This window comes from Homo sapiens, chromosome 19 (genome assembly GCF_000001405.40).
Source record: "Homo sapiens chromosome 19, GRCh38.p14 Primary Assembly".
NCBI lineage: Eukaryota > Metazoa > Chordata > Mammalia > Primates > Hominidae > Homo > Homo sapiens.
This window is the reverse complement of record NC_000019.10, coordinates 45,379,638-45,406,607: the sequence shown is the minus strand read 5'-3', so window position 1 is coordinate 45,406,607 and position 26,970 is coordinate 45,379,638. Positions and strand designations below refer to the sequence as shown.

The 26,970-nt window shown below is 53.5% G+C and overlaps 1 protein-coding gene across 5 annotated transcripts, besides 10 other annotated features; it reads left to right on the top strand.

Moving 5' to 3' along the window:
- PPP1R13L (protein phosphatase 1 regulatory subunit 13 like) lies at positions 247-26,970 on the top strand. 5 transcript variants are annotated; one of them, XM_017026178.2, is made up of 14 exons: positions 247-316; positions 4,484-4,609; positions 8,269-8,344; positions 8,461-8,603; positions 9,550-10,063; positions 10,172-10,270; positions 10,349-10,440; positions 10,722-11,172; positions 14,268-14,728; positions 20,428-20,559; positions 20,651-20,784; positions 20,880-21,046; positions 23,882-24,081; positions 26,380-26,970. In XM_017026178.2, exons 3-14 carry the CDS (start codon positions 8,290-8,292, stop codon positions 26,416-26,418), a joined length of 2,487 nt encoding a protein of 828 aa, XP_016881667.1. In that variant the 5' UTR covers positions 247-316; positions 4,484-4,609; positions 8,269-8,289; the 3' UTR covers positions 26,419-26,970. The 5 variants fall into 5 exon arrangements, with proteins under 5 accessions (XP_016881667.1, XP_016881666.1, NP_001135974.1 ...); XM_017026177.2 differs by lacking the exon at positions 4,484-4,609 and adding an exon at positions 1,527-1,609; NM_001142502.2 differs by lacking the exon at positions 4,484-4,609.
- Positions 688-887: an enhancer, noted in NCBI's record as "active region_14794". NCBI's record gives its function as "activates an Ori minimal core promoter by ATAC-STARR-seq in GM12878 lymphoblastoid cells {active_cell/tissue: GM12878}" and the evidence as "EXISTENCE:reporter gene assay evidence [ECO:0000049][PMID:35858748]".
- Positions 858-1,653: an enhancer, noted in NCBI's record as "H3K27ac-H3K4me1 hESC enhancer chr19:45908213-45909008 (GRCh37/hg19 assembly coordinates)". NCBI's record gives its function as "activates a minimal SCP1, AML or CMV promoter by ChIP-STARR-seq in primed H9 embryonic stem cells {active_cell/tissue: H9 hESC(primed)}" and the evidence as "EXISTENCE:reporter gene assay evidence [ECO:0000049][PMID:30033119]".
- Positions 3,813-3,902: a silencer, noted in NCBI's record as "silent region_10763". NCBI's record gives its function as "represses an Ori minimal core promoter by ATAC-STARR-seq in GM12878 lymphoblastoid cells {active_cell/tissue: GM12878}" and the evidence as "EXISTENCE:reporter gene assay evidence [ECO:0000049][PMID:35858748]".
- Positions 3,943-4,192: a silencer, noted in NCBI's record as "silent region_10762". NCBI's record gives its function as "represses an Ori minimal core promoter by ATAC-STARR-seq in GM12878 lymphoblastoid cells {active_cell/tissue: GM12878}" and the evidence as "EXISTENCE:reporter gene assay evidence [ECO:0000049][PMID:35858748]".
- Positions 7,029-8,027: an enhancer, noted in NCBI's record as "H3K4me1 hESC enhancer chr19:45901839-45902837 (GRCh37/hg19 assembly coordinates)". NCBI's record gives its function as "activates a minimal SCP1, AML or CMV promoter by ChIP-STARR-seq in naive H9 embryonic stem cells {active_cell/tissue: H9 hESC(naive)}" and the evidence as "EXISTENCE:reporter gene assay evidence [ECO:0000049][PMID:30033119]".
- Positions 14,009-14,525: an enhancer, noted in NCBI's record as "H3K4me1 hESC enhancer chr19:45895341-45895857 (GRCh37/hg19 assembly coordinates)". NCBI's record gives its function as "activates a minimal SCP1, AML or CMV promoter by ChIP-STARR-seq in primed H9 embryonic stem cells {active_cell/tissue: H9 hESC(primed)}" and the evidence as "EXISTENCE:reporter gene assay evidence [ECO:0000049][PMID:30033119]".
- Positions 14,526-15,044: an enhancer, noted in NCBI's record as "H3K4me1 hESC enhancer chr19:45894822-45895340 (GRCh37/hg19 assembly coordinates)". NCBI's record gives its function as "activates a minimal SCP1, AML or CMV promoter by ChIP-STARR-seq in primed H9 embryonic stem cells {active_cell/tissue: H9 hESC(primed)}" and the evidence as "EXISTENCE:reporter gene assay evidence [ECO:0000049][PMID:30033119]".
- Positions 14,526-15,055: a biological region, named in NCBI's record as "H3K4me1 hESC enhancer GRCh37_chr19:45894822-45895340".
- Positions 15,006-15,055: an enhancer, noted in NCBI's record as "active region_14793". NCBI's record gives its function as "activates an Ori minimal core promoter by ATAC-STARR-seq in GM12878 lymphoblastoid cells {active_cell/tissue: GM12878}" and the evidence as "EXISTENCE:reporter gene assay evidence [ECO:0000049][PMID:35858748]".
- Positions 15,306-15,365: an enhancer, noted in NCBI's record as "active region_14792". NCBI's record gives its function as "activates an Ori minimal core promoter by ATAC-STARR-seq in GM12878 lymphoblastoid cells {active_cell/tissue: GM12878}" and the evidence as "EXISTENCE:reporter gene assay evidence [ECO:0000049][PMID:35858748]".

Here is a 26,970-nt window from a genome sequence, read left to right as displayed (position 1 = left end):
CGGGAGCGCCCAACTGGTGCGGGAGCGCGGGGGTAGGCATTGCTCGACTCCCGATCTGCAGGAAAAACTGGGGAAAATTTCAACGTGTGCAGAGCAGAAAACCGAGGAAGAAGTCTTTTTCCGAAAAATGTATTCCCGAAAGCCGCTGATTCGCTGTATTGCTGGAGTCAGAGGCCCGTCGGGTCCCGATGGGTCGCCCCCATCGTCTGTCCAATATGGTTTGTTGCAACGCCTCCTTAAAGGGGCAGCCACACTGCTCTTCCTAAGCCTTAAAGAGACAGGACGGTCGATTGGTCTGAAATTCTTGAAGAGACAGGTAAGAATACTAGTTAGTAGGGCTGTGCTTTCTGTGTTAAATGTCTTCTGGGGAGGCCCAGATGCCTCACAAGTTCAGAACTTGACTGGGAGAAGCGGGAAAATGGAGAAATAGGGGCAATCCGTCCGGAGGGCGTGAAGTTCCAGCCAGGGGCGGGGCTTCTGGACTCCGGGGGAGCGGGAAACATAGGGGGAGGAGCTTGTGGTTCTCGAGGGCGGAGCCTCGGACCCAGGAGCCCCACACGCGTGGAGTGGTGCTGGGCACGGTGTAGCGTTTGTGGATCAAATGGGACTTGTAGATGCCCTCGGGGGTTTAGTCTCATGCGTGGGAAACCTCGATGACTTTCAGGAAGGGACCTGATCGGCGACTCCTCCCTGCCCCAGGGAGCGTGTAAACAGCGGCACGTGGACACAGATTTGGGGGACGCACCCACTTCCCTTCCCACTGGGGCCGCCCCGCGTTGGGCGGCGGTTGGAGCCGCGAGACGGTGGCTAGACAGGGTGACCCGACTGCATTCCTGGCCAGTGTGTCAGCGCCACTTCCCGCCCCCTCTGCCAAGATTTAGGATCCTACTCCAGAATTGGGGCACCCCTTCTCCCCAGGTGGGAGAGGCTTTCCAGAGCGGAGGGAGGGTCAAGGGGAAGGGGAAATGTTTCCCCTATCCAGGATCTCCAGACGGTTTCCTTCGCGTGGGCGAGAGAGACACCGGGGTGCAGCCCCTGCGGGCTCCAGGACTACAATTCCCACAGGACCCGAGGCAAAGAGTCGCCCGAGGGCGGTCGCGGAGGCTGCTGGGGGTTGTAGTCCAAACTAAGATTTTGAACTCTTGCTGGGACATCCTTTGAAGATCCAACCCGCGCTTTTTATCGACGGGGAGATTCGGGCTCAGAGACCCTGGGGGATACTGATCAGGAAAGGGGATAGTGCGCCTGAAGGGGTGGGGCAAGGGCTCAGGAGTCAGTCTCCAGCCACAGCGAGGCAGGCGTCTCGGCTCTTCTGTATCTCCCTGGCCTGGTCGCTCTCGGCTTCTGGGCCTCGCCCTTCCTGTCTGTGAAATGGACTCTGGGTGAATCCAAATGGGATCGTCTTGGGCTACGTCCTGTCCCTCCGGGACTACAAGTCCCAAGGTGCTCGAGGCGACCTTGGCTCCCCCTCCCCACCGGGACCCGCCTCCCTCCAGCCCAAGTCACGTCGTCTAACCTGTTCCCAGCTCCTGCCCCGCCCCGTTCTCCGCTCCCCAAGCCGGAGCCCGAGCTGGAGGAAGCCCCCAGGTGCCAGGATCTGCCCGGATCCGTGAGTTTCACCCTCCTGGGGACCAGAGGCCCTGAAAAAGCCCAACACCCGCGTCCCTGGGAGGATTGGGAGGGGACTCGGACGCCAGGTCCCAGGGCGGAATTTGGGGCGCGCCGACACCTGGATCCTTAGAAGGAAACTCCGTTGCCTGTTTTACTGGAGGGAAGGAAAGCGGGTTCGGATGCCTGAATTCTTGGAATGGAGGGATTCTACCCCTTCATCCCGGGGAGACGTTGGAGCTGGAATTCCTGAGTCCCTCGAACTGGGGGGCTCTAGGAAGCCGAGTCTTTGGGTAGTATAGGGGTTCGAATCCCCGAGTCTTGGTCAGAAATGAGAGGCTCAGACTGGTGGGGCTCAAGGTGGAATGGGTGACCACCCTGCCAGCCTCAAGCTGCTGTCTCGACCGATCTTCTAGGTCTCTGAGCAGAATTAAGGGTGGGGCAGGGATAGTGGAGCCTGGGTTCCTGAAGTGGAGCAGGACAGGTACCCGGGGTCCCTCCGGAGGCTGTGTCCCGGCTCTCCCCCGACTTTTCGGCTCGGGGATGGGGGCGGGGTAGGAGAGAAAACACCGAGGCAGATCTCCAACCTCCTCTGTGCCGCTGAGCGAACCCAACATGTCATTAACCTGGGCGTCAGACCTGCCTAACCAGAGAAGGGACATCCGCCCTAGGGCACCCCCTGGCGGAGGTGGGCTCCCCTATTGCCTTATGGGGTGGGAAACAGCTGGGTTTGCAGAGGTAGTTCTAGAACCCAGGGCAGAATTCCGGAAAGCGGCTATTGGATTCTGGGAGGTTTGCATAGCCGGGCATTTAACCATTACACGGAGAGGAAGGGGTAAACTGAGGCTTGGAGCTCACACAGGCAGTAGAGTTTGTAGGGTCAGGATTCTGCCTCCTCCTTCTTCTGCAGCTCTCTGGGGGACGGGATTCCATCCGCCCCCGCCAGATTTTCTGACTAACCTTCTGCCTCAGGGCTCCTTGCCCTGACCCTGAGGTGAGAAATGTCACCTCCACGCCCATCTGTCTGACCTGGGGTATTGTGGGAGATAAGGGAGGGACAGAGGCTAATTCTGGAGGTGTCTGTCTGTCCTTGAGGCGGGGGGAGGGCAGGACCAGGCACCTCCCTCTGTCTATCTCCCCGTTCTCTCCACCCCCATGCGTCCTAAGAAGGGGGATTAAAAACAGAATGGGGGAGGCGAGCATCTGATGAGAGAGGAGTGTTTCCCAATGTCTGGGCTTGAAGGGCATTTGATGATAACCTGAAATGAAATTAAAAATAATAACCGTGGTTGCCAAAACAGGGCTCTGGGTGTACCAAGCTCAGAGCTGGTAGGTAGGTAGGTAGGAAAGCTCGCATTGTCTAGAGGAATCTTGGGTGACTGAGAGGTCTCCCTTTGAATAAGGTTTGCTGACCCCAGGGAAGGACTCCTCATTACGAGTGGAGAAACGGAGGCTGGAGAGTGGATATTGCCCACACCCTGGGCTTTTGCCAGCTTCTGTCTGGAATCTTCCAGGGCTCTCCCAGCCCTCCCGTCCCTAAGTGACTGAGGGTGATCACTGGCCAGACTCAGGAATGTACAGGGGAAATTTAGGACTCTGAGAGGCAAGGGCTCAGGAAGTTGAGACCCTGGGTGTCAAAACTCAGGGCTTGTATGATCTCAGAAAGAGTTGAAAGGGCCCTTTTAGGGGAAAAAAAAATTACATTGAGTCTGGACCCCTCACTCTGTTGCCAGACCCTGTGTTATTATAATGAACAGCCAAGGACATCTGGTAATTATGAATCCTGTATGTGTGAACTTTATTTCGCGCACTGCATTGTTCTAATCACGGCTTATAAATTATGTCACTCAATCCTCATACCCCTTTGAGGCGAAGGTATTAATTCTTCCCATGGTCCACATGAGGAAACAGGCACAGAGAAGCTAAATAACAAGCCCAAGTAGAGGCTTAGAGCAAGAAAGGCCCTAGCCCATTCCATAGACGTCCACAAAGGAGGAAACCGAGTCCCAGAGACAGTGGAGCCTCTCCAGATTCAGTGTGACCCGACAGGGCTGTAGGAGTCCAGCCTGGGTGTTCCCAGCTCAGTCTGGCTCTCTGACCCGGTTCCTACTGAAGATGACTCCTCCAGGAAGTCCACAGGATCCTTAGCCCTAAAGAACCTGGCTGGGGTGCAGAGGAGGCCAGGGAAGGAGAGCCAGGGGTGGAGCGGAGAGAGGAGCCCAGGGGAGAGTACCTGCGGCTGGCCCAGAGCCCGCGGGAGAGCTCGGAGCTAGAGCTAGAGGGGAGCACATGGGAGAGGACTCGGAGGCAGAGGTCAGGGGCAGAGGCCTGGGAACAGACACACGGCCCGCGCCACCCCCGCGCCCCGCCCTTGTACCCCGCCCGGCCCAGCTCCCTTGCCCCGGGATGTACAGCACCTGCCCGGGCCCGCTGCGCATTCCCCGGGCCTGAGCTCAGGCGCAGTCCGCCCTCCTGGCGGGGGTCCGGGCGTGACCGCCCCCTGGTGGCTCCGACGTCCCCACCGCCTGTCCCCGCGACAGCCCCACACCCAGGGTTGGCATTTCCTGAGAGCCAGAGAATGTCAGTATGGAATCTGAGAATCTTGGAAATTTGGGGATCATGGCGCCGTGGCTCACGCCTGTAATCCCAATACTTTGGGAGATCGAGCCGGGGAGGATCCCATGAGGCTAGGAGTTCGAGACCAGCCTAACCACAGGCGCGAGAGAGACTAAATCTCTACCAAAAGAAAAAAAAAGAGTCACTTACAGCTGGCATTAGGGCTGCACAGACTTGCTCATTTATCTATTTTAACAGTTAACAAAGTATTGTTTGTGTATCTCTGAAATTCTAAATGCCCGAGTTTTTATTCCTGTAGTCTCTTCTTCCTGAGGCCTCAATTCTCAGAGCTCTGAATTCTTCCTGCACCTTCTGACCAGGTGGATTCTTACAGTAGTCCTATGAGGTGAACTTTCATCCCCATTTTACGGATTACGAGACTGAGGTACTGTGGTCAGGGTTGGACGGTGGTGCTGCCAGATTTGATGATTTTATTTTAATTTTTTTTAAGAAATGGGGTCTCATTGTGTTGGCCATGTTGGTCTTGAACTCCTGGCCTCAAGTGATCCTCCCCCCTCGGCCTCCCAAAGTGCAAGGATTACAGGCAGAAGCTACCATGCCCGGCCCTCAGATTTGAATTTTTGAAGTCTGACTTCTTACTCATGCTTTTACCAGCTGCACTATACCATCCATCTAGACTTCCAGAGCAGTGCAACCCTGGGTTAGGTAGAATGTGGTACAGAAAGACTCAGAATTCTGGGTTAGACAAATTGGAGAATTCTAGAATGTTCCAAAGATAGAATCTTGGACTCAGAACTTTCCAACAATAGGCTCTTTAGCTGAGGGGTTTAGGCTCTGTAGAACTTTAGTTACAGTCCTAAGGTCCTTACAGTTTGAAAGTCTGGGGCTCATAGAGATTAAAGGGGCCTTTCAGAATAGCTGATTTGGCCAGGTGTGGTGGCTCATGCCTGTAATCTCAGCACTTTGGGAGGCTGAGGCGGGAGGATTGCTTGAGCCCAGGAGTTCAAAACCAGCCTGAGCAACAAAGTGAGACCCCTGTCTCTACAAATTTTTTTTTTTTTTTTTTTTGGGACGGAGTCTCGCTCTGTCTCCGAGGCTGGAGTGCAGTGGCGCGATCTCGGCTCACTGAAAGCTCCGCCTCCCTGGTTCACACCATTCTCCTGCCTCAGCCTCCCGAGTAGCTGGGACTACAGGCGCCCGCCACCACGCCCAGCTAATTTTTTTGTATTTTTTAGTAGAGACAGGGTTTCACCGTGTTAGCCAGGATGGTCTCGAGCTCCTGACCTCGTGATCCTCCCGCCTTAGCCTCCCAAAGTGTACAAAATGTTTTTAAAAAATTAGCTGGGTGGCCGGGCGCGGTGGCTCACGCCTGTAATCCCAGCACTTTGGGAGGCCGAGGCGGGCGGATCATGAGGTCAGGAGATCGAGACCATCCCGGCTAAAATGGTGAAACCCCGTCTCTACTAAAAATACAAAAAATTAGCCGGGCGTAGTGGCGGGCGCCTGTAGTCCCAGCTACTTGGGAGGCTGAGGCGGGAGAATGGCGTGAACCCGGGAGGCGGAGCTTGCAGTGAGCCGAGATCCCGCCACTGAACTCCAGCCTGGGCGACAGAGCAAGACTCCGTCTCAAAAAAAAAAAAAAAAAAAAAAAAAAAAAAAAAATTAGCTGGGTGTGGTGGTGCGAGGCTATACCTATAGTCTCAGCTACTCAGGAGGCTGAGGTGGGAGGACCACTTGAGCTGGGAGGTCAAGAGGCTGTAGTGAGTCACAATTGTAGCCTGGGTTACAGAGCGAGACCCTATCTCAAAAAAAAAAAAAAAGGTGATTTGCCTTCTTCTTTGATGTTGGGGAGACTGAGGCCCAGGGAGTGGAGAGGACTCAACGCCCAAGGTCACACACTCCCTGTTCATCCAAATGAGCCGCCAGCCTGAACAGGTTCTGTTCCTTCGACTTCCCAGACAGAGGCGGGTATCAGCATGCCCCAGCCTGCCCTGCTGCCTATACTGCCAGAGCTAAGTGGTCGATGCAGCAGGGAGGTGGCAGAGCTGGTGGGTGTGGTGGCTAGCATGGGGATAGGGATGGTGCTGGCCTGACCGGTTCCTAGTGGCCTAGCTCCCTCCCACTGGGCCAGTGACCACAGCTGCCCCTCCACCCCTGGCCACCTCCCTGTTCCTCTTGCTAACAATGGGTCAGTGAGAGCCAGACCTCCACTGAATGGGGACCCTAGGGAAAGGAAGCTGAGCAGTCGCTTCCCTCTAGGACCCCTCTAATCTGGTAGAGATGACCCAGAATAAGTTAGATGCGGGTGTGAAACCGATTACTACCGACTTCTTGCAGGGTGACCTTGAACATATGTTTCTGAGCCATGCTTTCTTGCCTGCTAGGGTGGTTTTGACCATCAAATGAAGCTTTCGGTGCACGGCATTTCTCACCACTCTAGAAGGGAGTGGCCCCTCAATTAATTTTTTTTTTTTTAAATAGAGCCTCGCTCTGTCACCCAAGCTGCAGTGCAGTGACACAATCTATGCTCACTGCAACCTGTGCCTCCCAGGTTCAAGTGAGCCTTGTGCCTCAGCCTCCTGAGTAGCTGGGATTACAGGCACATGCCACCATGCCCAGCTAACTTTTGTATTTTTTTGTAGAGACGGGGTTTCACCATATTGGCCAGGCTGGTCTCCTGGCTTCAAGCGATCCATCCACCTCGGCCTCCCAAAGTGCTCGGGTTACAGGAGTGAACCACCGCGCCTGGCTGGTTATTGTTGTTGTTGTTTTAAACATATTTATTTATTTGTTTGTTTTAAGACGGAGTCTCGCACTGTCGCCCAGGCTGGAGTGCAGTGGCGCGATCTCCGCTCAGTTCAAGCTCCACCTCCCGGGTTCACGCCGTTCTCCTGCCTCAGCCTCCCGAGTAGCTGGGACTACAGGCGTCCATCACCACGCCTGGCTAATTTTTGGTATTTTTAGTAGAGACGGGGTTTCACCATGTTAGCCAGGATGGTCTCGCTCTCCTGACCTCGTGATCCGCCCTCCTTGGCCTCCCAAAGTGCTGGAATTACAGGCGTGAGCCACCGCGCCCGGCGGATATTGTTTTTACTACATTTACTACATTATACCCCAAGCAGTAGGCATGGGTTCTAGTACACAGCAGACAGCAGAATTATTATTAAAAAACAAAAACAAGGCCGGGCGCGGTGGCTCACGCCTGTAATCCCAGCACTTTGGGAGGCCGAGGCAGATGGATCACGCGGTCAGGAGATCGAGACCATCCTGGCTGACACGGTGAAACCCCGTCTCTACTAAAAATACAAAAATTTAGCCAGGCATGGTGGCAGGCGCCTGTAGTCCCAGCTACTCGGGAGGCTGAGACAGGAGACTGGCATGAACCCTGGAGGCGGAGCTTGCAGTGAGCCGAGATCGCGCCACTGCACTCCAGCCTGGGCGAAAATGCGAGACACCATCTCAAAAACAAACAAAAACAGGATCTAGCACAGTGCGTCCTGGTCCCTAGTAAACATTCAGTAATTCATAGTTATTCCATCCTATGTTTACCGGCACATTGTAGGTGATCAATAGATAATTGTTCAAGGAGTGATTCAGGTCTTAGGACTGAGATAAAGAGATGGACACGGCCGGGCGCGGAGACTCACTCCTGTAATCCCAGAACTACAAAAATTAGCCGGGCATAATGGCGCGCGCTTGTAGTCCCAGCTAGGCAGAAGATTTGCTTGAACCCGGGAGGCGGAGGTTGCAGTGAGCCAAGATCGCGTCATTGCACTCCCGCCTGGGCGACAGAGCGAGACTCTGTCTCACACACATACACAAAAAAAAAAAAAAAAAGAAAAGAAAAAAAGAAAGAGAAAGTGAATTCCGGAGGTTTTAGACTGGGTTTGGACTTCTCCGTGGCGCATGGACTTGGCTTTGGAGGAGTTGGCATTTCCCAGCTGGGGAGGTGAAAGGGTAAAGGGCTTCCAGGGGAAGGAACTGAGTTGAGGCGTTGTCCCGCTCCTGACGGCGTCTGACTCCCTGAGGGCGGGGTCTAGAGGGGCGGGGTCTTAGCCAGCTCCCTCCCTCCCCACCATGCAGGCGCCCGCTCCGGCCGGCACCATGGACAGCGAGGCATTCCAGAGCGCGCGGGACTTTCTGGACATGAACTTCCAGTGTAAGCTGGAGTAGGGGGCGGGGCTGGCGAGGCGGGGACCTCGGCAGCGGGCGAGGGGTGCTGAGGCCGGCCCCTGCCAGGAGGCCAGGTCCTTACCTCCACTCCCACCTTCCCAGCGCTGGCCATGAAACACATGGATCTGAAGCAGATGGAGCTGGACACGGCGGCGGCCAAGGTGGATGAACTGACCAAGCAGCTGGAGTCGCTGTGGTCAGACTCTCCCGCGCCTCCTGGCCCGCAGGCCGGACCCCCTTCTAGGGTAAGCCTGGTTCCCACCTTGATCTCCAAAGCCAGCCTCTCGCCACAGTCCAGACCAGAGGCCTGGATTTCAGGCAAAATTGCCCCATATAGTTATGCAGGTTGTGGGCTCTTCAAGGGAACTTGAAAAAAGGGGACCAGGCCAGGCGCGATGGCTCAGACCTGGAATCCCAGCACTTTGGAAGGCGAGGTGAGAGAATTGCTTGAGACTAAGAGTTTGAGACCAGCCTCTACAAATGATTTTTTAAAAATCTGGCTGGGCACGGTGGTTCACGCCTGTAATCTCAACACTTTCAGAGACAGGCGGATCACTTGAGGTCAGGAGTTTAAGACCAGCCTGGCTAACATGGTGAAACCCTGTCTCTACTAAAAATACAAAAGTTAGCCAGGTGTGGTGGTGCATACCTGTAATCCCAGCTACTTGGGAGGCTGAAGTGGGAGGATCACACTAAGCCAGGGAGGTTGAGGCTGCAATGAGCCGAGATAGAAAAGAAAGAAAGAAAGAAAGAAAGAAAGAAAGAAAGAAAGAAAGAGAGAGAGAGAAAGCAAGCAAGCAGGGAGGGAGGGAGGGAGGGAAGGAGAGAGAGAGAAAGGAAGGAAGGAGAGAGAGGAAAGAAAGAAAGAAAAGAAAGAGAGAGAAAGAAAGAAAGAAAGAAATAGAAAAGAGGGGACCAGTGGAAGTGGACATCTAAAGGGACCCTCAGAAGGAAAGAGGTGTTTACCTAAGTGGCATAAAGGTGACATAGAGTAATGGGCTAGCCACAGTGCTGATTCAGGGCTGTCTCCCCACCACTACTCACCTGGGCTCTCTGTGCCTGAATTTCCATGGCCGGTCAGCCTCCTCTGGGTTGACCTCCAGTGATCTCTCTTGACACCCCCGCCCACACACCAACCCTTCCACTAATGTCTCCTTTGATCCATCCCTCAATGCCCTGGCCTCCCCACAGCCGCCCCGGTACAGCTCCAGCTCGATCCCTGAGCCCTTCGGCAGCCGAGGGTCCCCCCGGAAGGCGGCCACCGACGGCGCAGACACCCCGTTCGGACGATCAGAGAGTGCCCCAACCCTACACCCCTACAGCCCGCTGTCCCCCAAGGGACGGCCGTCGTCGCCGCGCACCCCGCTCTACCTGCAGCCGGACGCCTACGGCAGCCTGGACCGCGCGACCTCGCCCCGGCCCCGCGCCTTCGATGGCGCAGGCAGCTCCCTCGGCCGTGCGCCCTCCCCGCGGCCCGGGCCAGGCCCGCTCCGCCAGCAGGGTCCCCCCACGCCTTTCGACTTCCTGGGCCGCGCAGGCTCCCCCCGCGGCAGCCCCCTGGCGGAGGGGCCCCAGGCCTTCTTCCCCGAGCGTGGGCCGTCACCGCGCCCCCCTGCCACAGCCTACGACGCGCCAGCGTCCGCCTTCGGGAGCTCCCTGCTAGGCTCCGGCGGCAGCGCATTCGCCCCGCCTCTGCGCGCGCAAGGTGAACCCAGGGGCCCCTCGCGGGGCCTTTGACTCGCGGGGTCAAAGCGGGCAGGATCCGGGGCTCGCCACCCCTCCCGTCTCATCCTCCCTGGAAACTTCTCCCCAGACGACCTGACGCTGCGCCGGCGGCCTCCGAAAGCCTGGAACGAGTCTGACCTGGACGTGGCGTACGAGAAGAAGCCTTCGCAGACAGCGAGCTATGAACGTGAGTGGTGGAGGCCCGGGGAATGGAGGACCCGGAGGAGAGGCAGCCCCACAGACCCTAATGATTCCCGCCCCGCAGGCCTGGACGTCTTCGCAAGGCCTGCCTCGCCGAGCCTGCAGCTGTTGCCTTGGAGGGAGAGCAGCCTGGATGGACTGGGGGGCACCGGCAAGGTGAGGAGGCGACGCCTGGGGAGGAGAGGCTGGGGAAGGTCGAGGAGTGGGGTGGGGGAGCGGGGTCAAGGCCAGTCTCCCCCTCGGGGCTGCGATCTGGGTCTCGGCGCCCGTTCCCACGCTCTCCCTTCACTGTGCTGGGTTTCTGCTCCTTCCTCACCCTTTCTTCTCCCTCACTCCCAGGGCTTCCCTCACCTCCTCTCCCTTCTCGTCTTTTGTCTTTACCTCCCCTCCACCTTCCCTCTCTCACCCGATCCCCTTCTCCCTTCCCTCTTCCCCAGGACAACCTCACTAGCGCCACCCTGCCGCGCAATTACAAGGTCTCTCCTCTGGCCAGCGACCGGCGTTCAGACGCGGGCAGCTACCGGCGCTCGCTGGGCTCCGCGGGGCCGTCGGGCACTTTGCCTCGCAGCTGGCAGCCCGTCAGCCGCATCCCCATGCCCCCCTCCAGCCCCCAGCCCCGCGGGGCCCCGCGCCAGCGTCCCATCCCCCTCAGCATGATCTTCAAGCTGCAGAACGCCTTCTGGGAGCACGGGGCCAGCCGCGCCATGCTCCCTGGGTCCCCCCTCTTCACCCGAGCACCCCCGCCTAAGCTGCAGCCCCAACCACAACCACAGCCCCAGCCACAATCACAACCACAGCCCCAGCTGCCCCCACAGCCCCAGACCCAACCCCAAACCCCTACCCCAGCCCCCCAGCATCCCCAACAGACATGGCCCCCTGTGAACGAAGGTGAGTCAGCAATGAGGGCCCTAGAGGACTGGGTGAAGGGAGGACAAATGGCAGGGGGACCAGACCAGCCCTGGGAGGTGGGGAGATCACAGCCAAATGCCTCTTTACAAGCACTGTCCCTGCAGAGAGCTAGGCCAGGTGAGTTTGGGAATTTGGGTAGGAGCCAGGGATAGCTCAAAGGTTAAGTGTGGACCCTGAAGCCAGACTGCCTGGTTCCACGCTGTGTGACCTTGGGCAAGTCACTTAACCTCACTGGGCCTCAATTTTCTTGAGTGTAAAAGGGAAATAATGGGCCGGGCACGGTGGCTCATGCCTGTAATCCCAGCACTTTGGGAGGCCGAGGCGGGCGGATCACAAAGTCAGAAGTTCGAGACCAGCCTGGCCAATATGAAACCCCATCTCTACTAAAAATACAAAAATTAGCCAGGCATGGTGGCGGGCGCCTGTAGTCCCAGCTACTTGGGAGGCTGAGGCAGGAGAATCACTTGGACCCGGGAGGTGGAGGTTGCAGTGAGCCGAGATTGCGCCACTGCAGTCCATCCTGGGTGACGGGGAGACTCTGCCTCAAAAAAAAAAAAAAAAAAAAAGGCAAATAATGATAGAATCGATCCTATTGACATATGTTATTAAATTCATATAAAGCCTTTAAAACAGCACCTGATGGGCCAGGTGCAGTTGCTCACACCTGTAATCCCAGCACTTTGGGAGGCCGAGGTGGGCAGATCACTTGAGGTCAGGAGTTCAAGACCAGCCTGGACAACATGATGAAATCCCATCTCTATCAAAAAAAAAAAAAAAAAAAAAAATTAGCTGGGCATGGTGGCTCACCACTGTAGTCCTAGCTACTCAGCTTGAGCCAAGGAGGCGGAGGTGGCAGTGAGCCAAGATCATGCCACTGCACTCCAGCACAGGTGACAGGGTGAGACTCTGTCTCAAAAATAAATAAATAAATAGGATCTGATACATAGTAAGCTATCAATAGCTACCATATTAGCCAGGCACCGTGGCTCACCCTTGTAATCCTAGCAGTTTGGTGGGCTAATGCAGACAGGATTGCTTGAGCTCTGGAGTTCAAGACCAGCCTGGGCAACATAGTGAAACTAAAATAGACTTTACTAAAAATAAAAGTACAAAAAATCTGCCGGGCATGGTAGTGGGCGCCTGTAGTCCCAGCTACTCAGGATGCTGAGGTGGGAGGATCATTTAAGCCTGGGAGATCCAGGCTGCAGTGAGCTGTGATAGCGCCACTGCACTCCAGCCTGGGTGACAGAGTGAGACCCAGTCTCAAATAAATAGCTACCATATTAGTTATAATAATTTATTAATATTTTGAGGTGTGAGATCAGTGAGTTAAGCAGATGGGCTGGAGTCTCTCTTCACTGCTAACTTGCTGTGTGACTGAAGATAAATTACTTGTCCGAAACTCTGTTTCCCGTCTGTGAAGAGAGATTAATAATATCTACCCTATAGAATTGTGACGGGGATTCAATGAAATAATGTGTATGTGTGTGTGTTTTGGGGTTTATTTATTTATTTATTTTTGAGACAGAGTTTCACTCTTTTTTTTTGAGACAGAGTCTCGCTCTTTCTTCCAGGTTGGAGTGCAGTGGTGCTTGCTCACTGCAAGCTCCGCCTCCCGGGTTCACGCCATTCTCCTGCCTCAGCCTCCCGAGTGGCTGGGACTACAGGCGCCCACCACCACCCCCAGCTAATTTTTGTATTTTTAGTAGAGACGGGGTTTCATCATGTTAGCCAGGATGGTCTCGATCTCCTGACCTCATGATCTGCCCACCTCGGCCTCCCAAAGTGCTGGGATTACAGGCGTGAACCACCGTGCCCAGCCAAGATGGAGTTTCACTCTTCTTGCCCAGGCTGGAATGCAGTGGTGAGGTTTCAGCTCACTGCATCCTACACCTCCCAGGTTCAAGCGATTCTCCTACCTCAGCTTCCCAAGTAGCTGGGGTTACAGGCATGCACCACCACACCCAACTAATTTTTTGTGTTTTTAGTAGAGATGAGGTTTTGCCATGTTGGCCAGGCTGGTCTCGAACCCCTGACCTCAGGTGATCCACCCACCTCAGCCTCCCAAAGTGCTGGGATTACAGGCATGAGCCACCATGCTCAGCCGTGTGTGTGTGTGTGTATTATTTATATGTATATGCATACTATATAAAAATATATATACACTATATATATAATGTGTGTGTGTGTTTGTGTGTGTGTGTGTATATATATATATTTTGAGATGAAATCTCACTCTTTTGCCCAGGCTGGAGTGCAGTGGTGCAGTGGTGCAATCTCGGCTCACTGCAACCTCCGCCTCCTGGGTTCAAGCGATTCCTGTGCCTCAGCCTTCCGAGTAGCTGGGATTACAGGCATGTGCCACCACGCCCAGCTAATTTTTTTTTTTTTTTTTTTTTTTTTGTATTTTTAGTAGAGACAGGGTTTTACCATGTTGGCCAGGCTGGTCTCAAACTCCTGATCTCAAGAGATCTGCCTGCCTCGGCCTCCCAAAGTTCTGGGATTACAGGTGTGAGCCACTCGACTCAGCCAATAATGCATATTTTTATTTCCACCTGCTTTACTGTCAGAATGAGTAAGACAGAGAAGAAATCATTAAACACCAGGATTCTACTTCCTGCTGGAGTTTTCTGCCTGAGATGTTAGGAGAGGAAACTCTCAGGATCTCAGAAAATCACATCTATCACGGTTGGTAGAAGTAGATTCTAGAGTCAGCCAGAACTGAGTTCAAGTCCCAACTGCATGGCTTTGGGCAACTGACTTGTCCTCTCTGAGGCCCAGATTCCCTTTCGGTAATGTGGAGATGGCAGTGTATCTACCTCACAAAGCAGTGGTGAGATTACAATAAGGTAGGCATGTAAAGCGCCAGGCACATACTAACTGCTCAATAAATGGGAGGCATCATAATTGTATATTATTCACAGCCCAAGGAAAGTGTAGCCCAGAGAGGGCAAGGAACTTCCCTGAGGTCACACAGAAAATCATGTGCTGGTTGTATGCCCTGGAAGTTGTGGAGAGGGAGTGTTGGGTGTCTCCTGGGGACCTGTCCTCTGATGGGCTCTTGTTCCGGCTAGGACCCCCCAAACCCCCCACCGAGCTGGAGCCTGAGCCGGAGATAGAGGGGCTGCTGACACCAGTGCTGGAGGCTGGCGATGTGGATGAAGGCCCTGTAGCAAGGCCTCTCAGCCCCACGAGGCTGCAGCCAGCACTGCCACCGGAGGCACAGTCGGTGCCCGAGCTGGAGGAGGTGGCACGGGTGTTGGCGGAAATTCCCCGGCCCCTCAAACGCAGGGGCTCCATGGAGCAGGCCCCTGCTGTGGCCCTGCCCCCTACCCACAAGAAACAGTACCAGCAGATCATCAGCCGCCTCTTCCATCGTCATGGGGGGCCAGGGCCCGGGGGGCCGGAGCCAGAGCTGTCCCCCATCACTGAGGGATCTGAGGCCAGGGCAGGGCCCCCTGCTCCTGCCCCACCAGCTCCCATTCCACCCCCGGCCCCGTCCCAGAGCAGCCCACCAGAGCAGCCGCAGAGCATGGTAAGTAATACAGGAGGAAACCGGGGTATGTTTGCTACATGAATCCAGGAGCTGTAGCAAAGAGCCCCCCAAATATAGTGGCTTAGATGAGATCGAAGTTTTCTCCTCTTTTGAGTAGAAGTCCAAGAGTTTGCAGCCCAGGACTGTAGGCACCTCACTGGAGTCAGGACCCAGGCTCTATCTACCTGGGGCTCTGCCATCCATCGGGGAGTAAGCCTGCCTTCATGGTCCTAGATGGCTGTCACCAAGTCTGCCCTCCAGCCAGGAAGAGAGAAAGAAGAAGAGAAAGTGCCCTTTCCTGTTTCAGGCAGAACCTGGGAGTTCCATACATCACTCTGCCTGCTCCCACTGGCCAGGAGCCTCATTGCAATGGGATGCTGGGAAATGTAGTCTTTAGGATAGCTGTGTGTGACTATATGGAGGGCCATCTGGGAGTCTTGGCCACATAGAGATGTTCTCTGCTCCTTCTCTCCAATAACCTGTGCCTGTGCCCTGCCCCGGGCATTCCTTCAGCAATCTCGAGTCATACACCTGGACATGACTGAGTCTTGGCACAACAGTGGGTTCATTCTGGGACTGAGAAGTCTTGCCTGAATCAAAGCAGTCACCCTCTCTTCTCTCCCTCTCTGTCTCTGTGTCTCTTGTGTCTGCTCTGCTCTCTCCTCTATTTTTTTTTTTTTTCCAGGCAGAGTCTTGCTCCATCACTCAGGCTGGAGTGCAGTGGCTTGACCTCGGCTCACTGCAACCTCCGCCTCCCAGGTTCAAGCCATCCTCCCGCTTTAGCTTCCCAAGTAGCTGGGATTATAAGTGTATGCCACCACTCCTGGCTAATTTTTGTATTTTTAGTAGAGATGAGGTTTCACCATGCTGGCCAGGCTGGTCTCAAACTCCTGACTTCAAATGATCCACCTGCCTCAGCCTCCCAAATTGCTGCAGTTAGAGGCATGAGCCACTGTTCCTGGCTTTGCTCTCTCCTCTTATAAAATAGTGAGTCTCGGCCGGGCGCGGTGGCTCACGCCTGTAATCCCAGCACTTTGGGAGGCCGAGGTGGGTGGATCATGAGGTCAGAGGTTCAAGTCCAGCCTGACCAACATGGTGAAACCCCCTGTCTACTAAAAAAATACAAAAATTAGCCCGGAGCGGTGGCGCGTGCCTGTAATTCTGTAGCAGGACGAGCCACAGACAAAACTCCTCAGACACCGGATTAAAGAAGGAAGAGGTTTTTATTCGGCCGGGAGCATCAGCGTCTTAAGAGCCGAGCTCCCCGAAAAAGAAATTCCTAGCACTTTTAAGGGCTTACAACGCTAAGGGGTCCACGTGAAAGGGCCACGATAGATCAAGTAAGCGTGAGGAACGTGACTGGGGGCTACAGACATCAGCTAACAGAACAAAACGTTTTACAGTGCTTTCTCATACAATGTCTGGAATTTACAGATAACACCAGTAGTTTTGGTCAGGGATTAATATTATTATTATTATTTTAACCACCAGGACCAGATGGTGGCGCCAAGGTCATCTAGCTATTTATCGTACTTCTGTTTTTTTCCAGCGTTTTGCTTTCTCCCTTTTTTTCCTGTCTTATAAACTAGGGAAAAGGGGAGGTGGGGGAGAAGCTGGGAAGGACAACAGGAGAAGTGGTGGTCTCATTCCAATCCCAGCTACTCAGGAGGCTGAGGCAAGAGAATCGCTTAAACCCGGAAGGCGGAGGTTGCAGTGAGCCAAGACTGCACCACTGCACTCCAGCCTGGGCGACAGAGCAAGACTCCATCTCTAAATAAATAAATAAATAGGCCGGGCGTGGTGGTTCATGCCTGTAATCCCAGCATTTTGGGAGGCCGAGGCGGGCGGATCACGAAGTCAGGAGATAAGACCATCCTGGCTAACACGGTGAAACCCCGTCTCTACTAAAAATACAAAAATTAGCTGGGGGTGGTGGCGGGCGCCTGTAGTCCCAGCTACTCTGGAGGCTGAGAGGAGAATGGCGTGAGCCCGGGAGGCGGAGCTTGTGGTGAGCTGAGATCGCGCCACTGCACTCCAGCCTGGGTGACAGAGCAAGATTCCGTCTCAAAAAAAATAAAAATAAAAATAAATAAATAAATAAATAAAAACAAGTGAGTCTCGGCTGGGTGCTGGACTCCACCTCCTGGGTTAAAGTGATTCTCCTGCGTCAGTCTCCCAAGTGGCTGGGATTACAGGCATATGCCACCACGCTTGGCTAATTTTTGTATTTTTAGTAGAGATGGGGTTTCACTGTGTTGGCTAGGCTGGTCTTGAACTCCTGACCTCAAGTGATCTGCCCGCCCTGGCCTCCCAAAGTGCTGGGATTACAGGTGTGAGCCACCACACCCCGCCAAGATTAAATACATTAATGTAGTGCTTAGCATAATACCTGGCACATAACTGTTAACTGCTCTTACTGTTGTCACCATTGGACCAGGGGATGGTCTCCTGCTGATCTTGGTCCCTGCATCTTGACTGGGAAGAGGGTTGTAGCCACATGGAACAGTCCTGAACACTCCGTGTGCGTAGACAGCGGGAAGAGATCACTTCTCAGAGAAGCAGGGGTCAGGTGGACCCCCCCAAAATGCCTATTCCTAGGCCCTCCTGAAAGTAAAGGCAAGGAACCTTGAGGCTCAGGATTTTGAAATCAAGAGGGGATGAATAACAACATGTTGAAATGGCTGAGCATCCCATTGTAGAATCACAGAGTCCTGGCCACAGAGAAACTTAAAAAATCATAGAATGTAAGAATCAAACGCTAGTGTCACCGTCTTAGGATAGTAACATTTTAGAGCCCTAGAGCATTTAAAGGTTTGAACACGATCTTAGAATTATAAAGTTAGGCTGGGCACGGTGGCTCATGCCTGTAATCCCAGCACCTTGGGAGGCCGAGGCGGGTGGATCACTTGAGGTCAGGAGTTCAAGACTAGCCTCGCCAACATGGTGAAACCCCGTCTCTGCTAAAAATACAAAAATTAGCTGGGCCTGGTGGTGCATGCCTGTAATCCCAGCTACTCGGGAGGCTCAGGCAGGAGAATTGCTTGAACCTAGGAGACAGAGGCTGCAGTGAGCCGAGATTGCGCCACTGCACTCCAGCCTGGGCAACAGAGAGAAACTCTGTCTCAAATAAAATAAAATAAAAGGAAACTCTTCTCTTAAAAAAAATAATTATAAAGTTAGTATCATAGACTGATTATTACTGATTCTTGAAGTCACCAAATCTGACAATTAAAGATGCTCATATTTTGAATTATAAAATCACAAATTCATGCACTGATATGTTGTAATAGAGGGTTATTATTATCGAGACAGAGTCTCACTCTGTTGCCCAGGCTGGAGTGCAGTGGCAAGATCATGGCTCACTGCAGCCTCCACCTACTGGGCTCAATTGATCCTCATGCCTCAGCCTCCCCTATGGCTGGGACTACAGGCATGCACCACCACTCCCAGATAATATTTAACATTTTCAGTAGAGACAGTTCTCATTATGTTGTCCAGGCTGGTCTCAAACCAGGCATGAGCCACTGTGCCCAGCTGAGATTTATACTTTAAATTTACACATTCCACTATAGAGAAATACACCAACACCATAGAGAGCTTGGGGAAAATAAATAAAAATAGAAGAAAGAGGACAAAATCACACCACTCACAGGGAACCATCATTAACATTTTGAATATTTCCTTCTAGTCTTTCTTTTTTTTTTCCTTTTTTGAGATGGAGTCTCACTCTGTCACCCAGGCTGGAGTGCGATGGTGCCATCTCAGCTCACTATAACTGTGCCTCCTGGGTTCAAGTGATTCTCATGCCACGGCCTCCTGAGTAGCTGGGATTACAGGCGTGCACCACCACGGCCACCTAATTTTTGTATTTTTAGTAGAGACAGGGTTTCACCACGTTGGCCAGGCTGGTCTTGAACTCCTGCCTGACCTCAGGTGATCCACTCTCCTCAGCCTCCCAAAGTGCTGAGATTACACACATGAGCCACCGCACCCAGCCATTTCCTTCTAGTCTTTTAAAATGAAATTCTAGGTCAGGCATGATGGCTCACACCTGTAATCCCAGCACTTTGGGAGGCCGAGGTGGGCGGATCACGAGGTCAGGAGAACAAGACCTTCCTGGCTAACACGGTGAAACCCCATCTTTACTAAAAATACAAAATAGCCAGGCGTGGTGGCGGGCGCCCGTAGTCCCAGCTACTTGGCAGGCTGAGGCAGGAGAATGGCCTGAACCCGGGAGGCGGAGCTTGCAGTGAGCTGAGATCGCACCACTGCACTCCAGCCTGGGCGACAGAGCGAGACTCTGTCTCAAAAAAACCAACAAAAAAAAGAAATTCTAACAGAAAAATATTAAAGTTCTCCATCATAGAATCTTTGGATTCCAAAGTCCTGGCCCCTCAGCAATTTGAAATAGCACAGCCTAGCATTTCTGCAATCACAACATATTGGAAACTTGAAATAACTGAGCATCTGGGAATTTTGAATTCAGTGGCTGTTGGGATCTCTGAATTCCAGAATCTTAAAATCACTGAAACTCTGGAAACAGCAAAGACCAGAATCACAAATGCTATGCACTCACACACTTGGAATAAATAAATGCATTTTTTTTTCTTTTGAGACTGGGTCTCACTCTGTTGCCCAGGCTAGAGTGCAGTGGCATGATCATGGCTCACTGAAGCCTCCTTCTCTTCCATTCAAGTAATCCTCCTGCCTCAGCCTCCCAAGTAGCTGGGACGACGGGTGTGCGCCACCATGTCAGGCTAATTTTTTATTTTTTGTAGAGACTGGGTCTCACTATATTGCCCAAGCTGTTCTCGAACTCCTGGGCTCAAGTGATCCTCCCACCTCAGCCTCCCAAAGTGCTAGGATTACAGACATGAGCCACCTCGCCCAGCCCAGAATAAATGAATCTTACAGGAGGAAAATTAAAAATAAGAAAGCCCATGAGGCTGGGCACAGTGGCTCACACCTGTAATCCTAGCACTTTGGGAGGCTGAGGTGGGTGGATCACCTGAGGTCAGGAGTTCGAGACCAGCCTGGACAACATGACAAAACCCTGTCTCTACTAAAAATATGAAAATTAGCCAGGCATAGTGGCGCATGCCTGTAATCCTAGCTACTCAGGAGGCTGAGGCAGGAGAATTGCTTGAACCTGGGGGATGGAGGGTGCAGTGAGCTGAGATCACACCACTGCACTGCACTCCAGCCTGGGTGACAGAGCGAGACTCCATCTCAAAAAAAAAAAAAAAAAGAGAAAAAGAAAAGGAAAATACAAGGAATAATAAAATGCTCAAATTCCAAACATCCGGAATGAACACTCCTGGTAACATTTTGTCATGTGTGTCTCATTGCATTCATTATTAACAAAAGAAATGTGAGACTGTGTGTGAATTGCATAACTGGCTTCCACAATCATTGTTTTGAACTGATAGAATTACTTTGCCACCAATCCCATGGCCCCCCAGCTTTCTCCCAAGTTTCAGGGCCCAAGATTCTCAAATCACAGGATTCCCTGTCTATGGCAGGGAACTGGAGGCTCTAGGAGGAGATCGAAGGCACCCCCTCACCCCATCCCGAGGGAATCCCAGTTCTACCCCTGTCTAGATGGGTGCCACAAGTCCCTGGACCTCTGTTTCCTACTCTAGATCATGGATATACTAACAATCCCTCCAAGTCGCTGACCTCTGCGCCCTGTCCCCCAGGAGATGCGCTCTGTGCTGCGGAAGGCGGGCTCCCCGCGCAAGGCCCGCCGCGCGCGCCTCAACCCTCTGGTGCTCCTCCTGGACGCGGCGCTGACCGGGGAGCTGGAGGTGGTGCAGCAGGCGGTGAAGGAGGTGAGCGCTGCTGAGCGGGAGGTGGGCACGGCGGGGGCATCGCAGATGCCAGCCGCGGGACTGAGTCTTCCCCCTCCCCCGGTGCACTCAGATGAACGACCCGAGCCAGCCCAACGAGGAGGGCATCACTGCCTTGCACAACGCCATCTGCGGCGCCAACTACTCTATCGTGGATTTCCTCATCACCGCGGGTGCCAATGTCAACTCCCCCGACAGCCACGGCTGGTGAGCCCCGACCCGCGCGGTGGGCTGGGTCCCCCGTGGGCGGACGCGCAGCCTCTCACGCATCGTTCCCCGCAACCCCCCACCCCCACGCCTAGGACACCCTTGCACTGCGCGGCGTCGTGCAACGACACAGTCATCTGCATGGCGCTGGTGCAGCACGGCGCTGCAATCTTCGCCACCACGCTCAGCGACGGCGCCACCGCCTTCGAGAAGTGCGACCCTTACCGCGAGGGTTATGCTGACTGCGCCACCTACCTGGCAGGTGCGAGGCAGGGCTGCTGGCGCCTGGGTACCTGGCGGGTGCGCAGGAGCGGGGAGGGGAGCAACTACCCCCTACTAGGGAGAGAAGGGTATGGGGGCTGTACCAACCACTTGGCAGGATTGCCGAGGAGGAGGATGAGGGATGGACCGCTTGCGGGGGTGGGGGGACTATGCCCTCCTAAGGGAAAAGGGGACATGGAGGCTGTGCTATGCGAGCTGGACACCTTTGGGGAGGAGAGTGGCTGTGAAGATTGGTCTGCTCACCTTTCACATCTTCAAGGGTGAGGAGCTGAACGTTTCAACCCTGCCATCTACCTGGCATAGGGCTCTGGGCAGGTGGGCTCTGCCACTTGTGGGAGAGGCATTGCCACACCACTGGCAGGTGAGCAGGCTACAGCTGCCAGAAAGGGGCTTGTAGGAAGACACAAGGCTGTACCCTATCTCTCCAGGGGGCAGGCTACATCACCTGGTTCCCCGACGGGCAGGGCGAAGTAGGCTGTGCCACGGGGATTGTGCACAGGGTCATTTCACACCTGGAGGAGCCAGTTGTATCTCGGTGTGGGCAAGGAACTTCACGGAGAGTTGGAGTGAGGCAGGTCCTAGGACTTATGGGTGAGACAGAGGGTTATATATTTGAAAGGTGAGCCTGGTCAGGCTACAAGACATTGTAGAGACCCCCTGTCTCTACAAATATTTATTTATTATTATTTTTGAGACAGAGTCTCACTGTCACCCAGGCTGGAGTGCAGTGGCTCAATCTCGGCTCACTGCAACCTCCACCTCCTGGATTCAAGCAATTCTCTGCCTCAGCCTCTTGAGTAGCTGGGACTACAGGTGCTCACCACCATGCCCGACTCATTTTTTTGTATTTTTAGTACAGAAGGGGTTTTGCAGTGTTGCCCAGGCTGGTCCCGAACTCTTGAGCTCAGGCAATCTGCCCACCTTGGCCTCCCAAAGTGCTAAGATTCAGGTGTGAGCCACCACACCTGACCTCTACGAAATATTTATTTATTTTTATTTATTTATTTTTTGAGACAGAGTCTTGCTCTGTCACCCAGGCTGGAGTGCAATGGCACCATAGCCCACTACAACCTCTGCCTCCTCGGTGAAAGCGATTCTCCTGCCTCAGGCTCCCGAGTAACTGGGATTACAGGCAAGGGCCCCACGGCCCGCTAACTTTTTTTTTTTTTTTTTTTGTATTTTTAGTAGAGACGGGGTTTTGCCATGTTGGCCAGGCTGGTCTCAAACCCCTGACCTCAGAGGATCCGCCTGCCTTGGCCTCCCAAAGTGCTGTGATTATAGGTGTGAGCCACTGTGCCCGGCCTACAAAATATTTAATAATAACATAAAGAATCAGGAGGAGGCTGAGGCAGGAGGATTGCTTGAATCTGGAAGTTCGAGGCTGCAGTAAGCTTGATCTCACCACTGCACTCCCGCAGCCTGGGTGGCAGAGTGAGACCTTGTCTGAAAAAAAAAAAGAAAAGAAAAGAAAAAGAAAGCCAGGCGCGGTGGCTCATGCCTGTAATCCTAGCACTTTGGGAGGCTCGAGGCGGGCGGATTGCATGAGCTCAGGATTTCCAAACCAGCCTGGGCAACACGGTGAAACCCCGTCTCTATTAAAAATATAAAACAATTTAGCCGGGTGTAGCGGCGTGGGCCTGTAGTCCCAGCTACTTTGGAGGCTGAGGCAGGAGAATTGCTGGAACCCAGGAGGCGGAGGTTGCAGTGAGCCGAAATCGCGCCACTGCACTCCAGCCTGGGCGACAGAGCAAGACTCCGTCTCCAAAAAGAAAAGAAAAGAAAAGAAAAGAAAGAGGCAGATGAGCCAACTTAAAGGACCCTATCATTCAAGGAAGGTGCGAATCTTCCTTAGAGACTGTACCACTTAAGCTAAGCGCCAGGGTAGGGCAAAAGACTGGACCTCTAGGGTTGACACGGGCATTCAGCAATGTACAAGAAGGAAATGAGGGCCGGGCCAGGTGGCTCACGCCTGTAATCCCAGCACTTTGGGAGGCCGAGGCGGGTGGATCACTTGAGGTCAGGAGTTTGATACCAGCCTGACCAACATGGTGAAACCCCGTCTCTACTAAAGATACAAAAATTGGCCAGGCATGGTGGCGCACACCTGTAATCCCAGCTACTTGGAAGGCTGAGGCAGGAGAATGGCTCGAACTCCGGAGGCGGAGGTTGCAGTGAGACCGCACCATTGCACTCCTGCCTGGGCGACAAGAGCGAAATTCCATCTCAAAAAAAAAAAAAAAAAAAAAAAGGCCGGGCGCGGTGGCTCACGCCTGTAATCCCAGCACTTTGGGAGGCCAATGTGGGCGGATCACAAGGTCAGGAGATCGAGACCATCCTGGCTAACACGGTGAAACCCTGACTCTACTAAAAATACCAAAAATTAGCCAGGCGTGGTGGCGGGCGCCTGTAGTCCCAGCTACTCGGGAGGCTGAGGCAGGAGAATGGTGTGAACCCGGGAGGCGGAGGTTGCAGTGAGCCGAGATCGTGCCACTGCACTCCAGCCTGGGCGACAGAGCGAGACTCTGTCTCAAAAAAAAAAAAAAAAGAAAGAAAAGAAATGGGAGCCTCTGACCCTGCCTCGGGAGTGGGTGGCCCACTGGCATGCCTCCCCCAGTTTCCTCGAACGCTCAAAGACGGCCAGTCCCGGCATCTGACTCCAGCTCCGGTTCCCATCCACAGCCATGGGCACACACAACATTTCAGGTGGTTGCTGGGACAGGCGCCAAATTCCAGGGTCTGTCCTGGACCCCACGTGGCCCCTGTTCCTGGACCCCCTGGGCCAGGCTCTCACCTTCCCCTCCGTGGCATGTTTCAGACGTCGAGCAGAGTATGGGGCTGATGAACAGCGGGGCAGTGTACGCTCTCTGGGACTACAGCGCCGAGTTCGGGGACGAGCTGTCCTTCCGCGAGGGCGAGTCGGTCACCGTGCTGCGGAGGGACGGGCCGGAGGAGACCGACTGGTGGTGGGCCGCGCTGCACGGCCAGGAGGGCTACGTGCCGCGGAACTACTTCGGGGTGAGCCCAGGGGAGAAGTCATGGGGACCTCCCGACAGTTGGGGGTTGGGGAAAAGGGGGATCCCACAGGAAAAAGAAGAGGCAACAGGAACAAACCGTTATATTGGGAGAGGGAGGTCTGAAAAGCTCATTATTGCTCATGGGGAGGAGACGAAAAGTCCGTTATATTTAATAGTAATGTCGGGGGTAAGGGTCCCTTATAGTTAGTGGAGTAGGTGAGGAAAAGCCCTTTATTTTATTTTTAAATTTCTATTATTTTTTTATTTTTATTTTTATTTTATTTATTTATTTCTGAAACGGAGTCTCGCTCTGTCGCCCAGGCTGGAGTGCAATGGCGCCATCTGTGCTCACTGCAACCTCGGGCCCCCCCCACCCGGGCTCAACCAGTTCTCCTGCCTGGGATTACAGGCGCCCACCACCACCACGCCCGGCTACTTTTTGTATTTTTAGTAGAGACGGGGTTTCACCATGTTGGCCAGGCTGGTTTTGATCTACTGACCTCAAATGATCCACCTGCCTTGGTCTCCCAAAGTGCTGGGATTACAGGCATGAGCCACCGCACCCGGCCAATTTGTATTTATTTATTTGAGATGGAGTCTTGCTTTGTCACCCAGACTGGAGTGCAGTGATAAGATGTGGGCTCACTGCAACCTCTGCCTCCCGGGCTCAAGTGATCCTCCCTCCTTGGCCTCCAGAGTAGCTGGGATGACAGGCGCATGCCACCACGCACGGCTAATTTTTTTTTTTTTTTTGTATTTTGTGTAGACAGGGTTTCATCACGTTGGCCAGGCTGGTCTTGAACTCCTGACCTCAGGTGACCTGCCCGCCTCAGCCTCCCAAAGTCCTGGGATTACAGGCATGTGCCACCGCACCTGGCTGGAAGCGCCCTTTATAAAGCTGTCAGGATGTAGGGTGCTCGCCAGTACTGCCTTACTAGTTATTTGATTGGTTTCTGCTCAATCCAATGTTTTTATTATCATCCCTGGTTGTATTGGTGGAGAGGTTAAAGAATAATCCATTTTAGCCAAGGGAAGCGACAAAGAAGAATCTCATTTTAATGATGGTGGGTGGGTTACAGAATTGTAGATTAAGGCTGGGAGAGGGCAAAAGACTGGACCTCTAGGGCTGACACAGGGATTCAGCAATGTACAAGAAGGAAGTGGAGGGCCCGGCCAGGTGGCTCACACCTGTAATCCCAGCACTTTGGGAGGCCAAGGCGGGCGGATCTCCTGAGGTCAGGAGTTCTAGACCAGCCTGGCCAACATGGTGAAACTCCATCTCTACTAAAAATACAAAAAAAAAAAGTTAGCCGGGTGTGGTGGCGGGTGCCTGTAATCCCAGCTCATCAGGAGGCTGACACAGGAGAATCGCTTAAGCCTGGGAGATTGATCCTGCAGTGAGCCCTGATGGTGCCACTGCACTCCAGCCTGGGTGACAATAAAAATATATGTTATATATAAATATATAATATATAAATATATAATATATATTTATATATAATATAACAGATGGAGAGGAAGCTTTCATTACACTGCATTGGGCAGAATGAGGAAAAATCCATTAATAAAATTACAGTGTAACTGAGGAAAATTCTCTATTAGGGTTAGGGGAGAAGGCAAGGAAGATTCCGTTACATTCCTGAGAAGGGAGATTTTTTTATTTTGGTTTTTTTTTTCTGTGTGTGTGTGTGTGTGTGTTTTGTTTTTGGAGACACAGCTTCAGCTGCGTCGCCCAGGCTGGAGTGCAGTGGCGCGATCTTGGCTCACTGCAGCCTCCACCTCCCGGATTCAAGTGATTCTCCTGCCTCAGCCTCCCAAGTAGCTGGGATTACGGGCATGCACCACCACGCCCAGCTAATTTTTTGTGTTTTTAGTAGAGACAGGGTCTCGTCATGTTGACCAGGCTTGTCTTGAACTCCTGAGCTCAGGTCATCCACCCACCTCGGCCTCCCAAACTGCTGGGATTATAGGTGTGACCCACTGCTCCCGGCCCTGAGAGAGGAGATTTTTTAAATATGGAGGTGGGACCCAAAAAGACAACCAAGGTGTTAGAGAGAGGTGGGCTTCTCCTTATGGCAGTTAGGAGACACTGGAAATATTCCATTTCATCAGTGGAGGCTCTGATTGGAAGGTTCCATCTGGTTCTTGGAGGTGACACAGAACTTGGATTCTGGAGCAGTTTGGGAGGTGCTGAGAGGTCCCCTTAGGAAGGGGTGGGAGGATAGAGACAGGCAGCGGATTTGCATGTGGGATGAGGAGGTGGGAGCTCCTGATGTCTGAAGATCCTGTCTCTCCCCAGCTGTTCCCCAGGGTGAAGCCTCAAAGGAGTAAAGTCTAGCAGGATAGAAGGAGGTTTCTGAGGCTGACAGAAACAAGCATTCCTGCCTTCCCTCCAGACCTCTCCCTCTGTTTTTTGCTGCCTTTATCTGCACCCCTCACCCTGCTGGTGGTGGTCCTTGCCACCGGTTCTCTGTTCTCCTGGAAGTCCAGGGAAGAAGGAGGGCCCCAGCCTTAAATTTAGTAATCTGCCTTAGCCTTGGGAGGTCTGGGAAGGGCTGGAAATCACTGGGGACAGGAAACCACTTCCTTTTGCCAAATCAGATCCCGTCCAAAGTGCCTCCCATGCCTACCACCATCATCACATCCCCCAGCAAGCCAGCCACCTGCCCAGCCGGGCCTGGGATGGGCCACCACACCACTGGATATTCCTGGGAGTCACTGCTGACACCATCTCTCCCAGCAGTCTTGGGGTCTGGGTGGGAAACATTGGTCTCTACCAGGATCCCTGCCCCACCTCTCCCCAATTAAGTGCCTTCACACAGCACTGGTTTAATGTTTATAAACAAAATAGAGAAACTTTCCTTATAAATAAAAGTAGTTTGCACAGAAA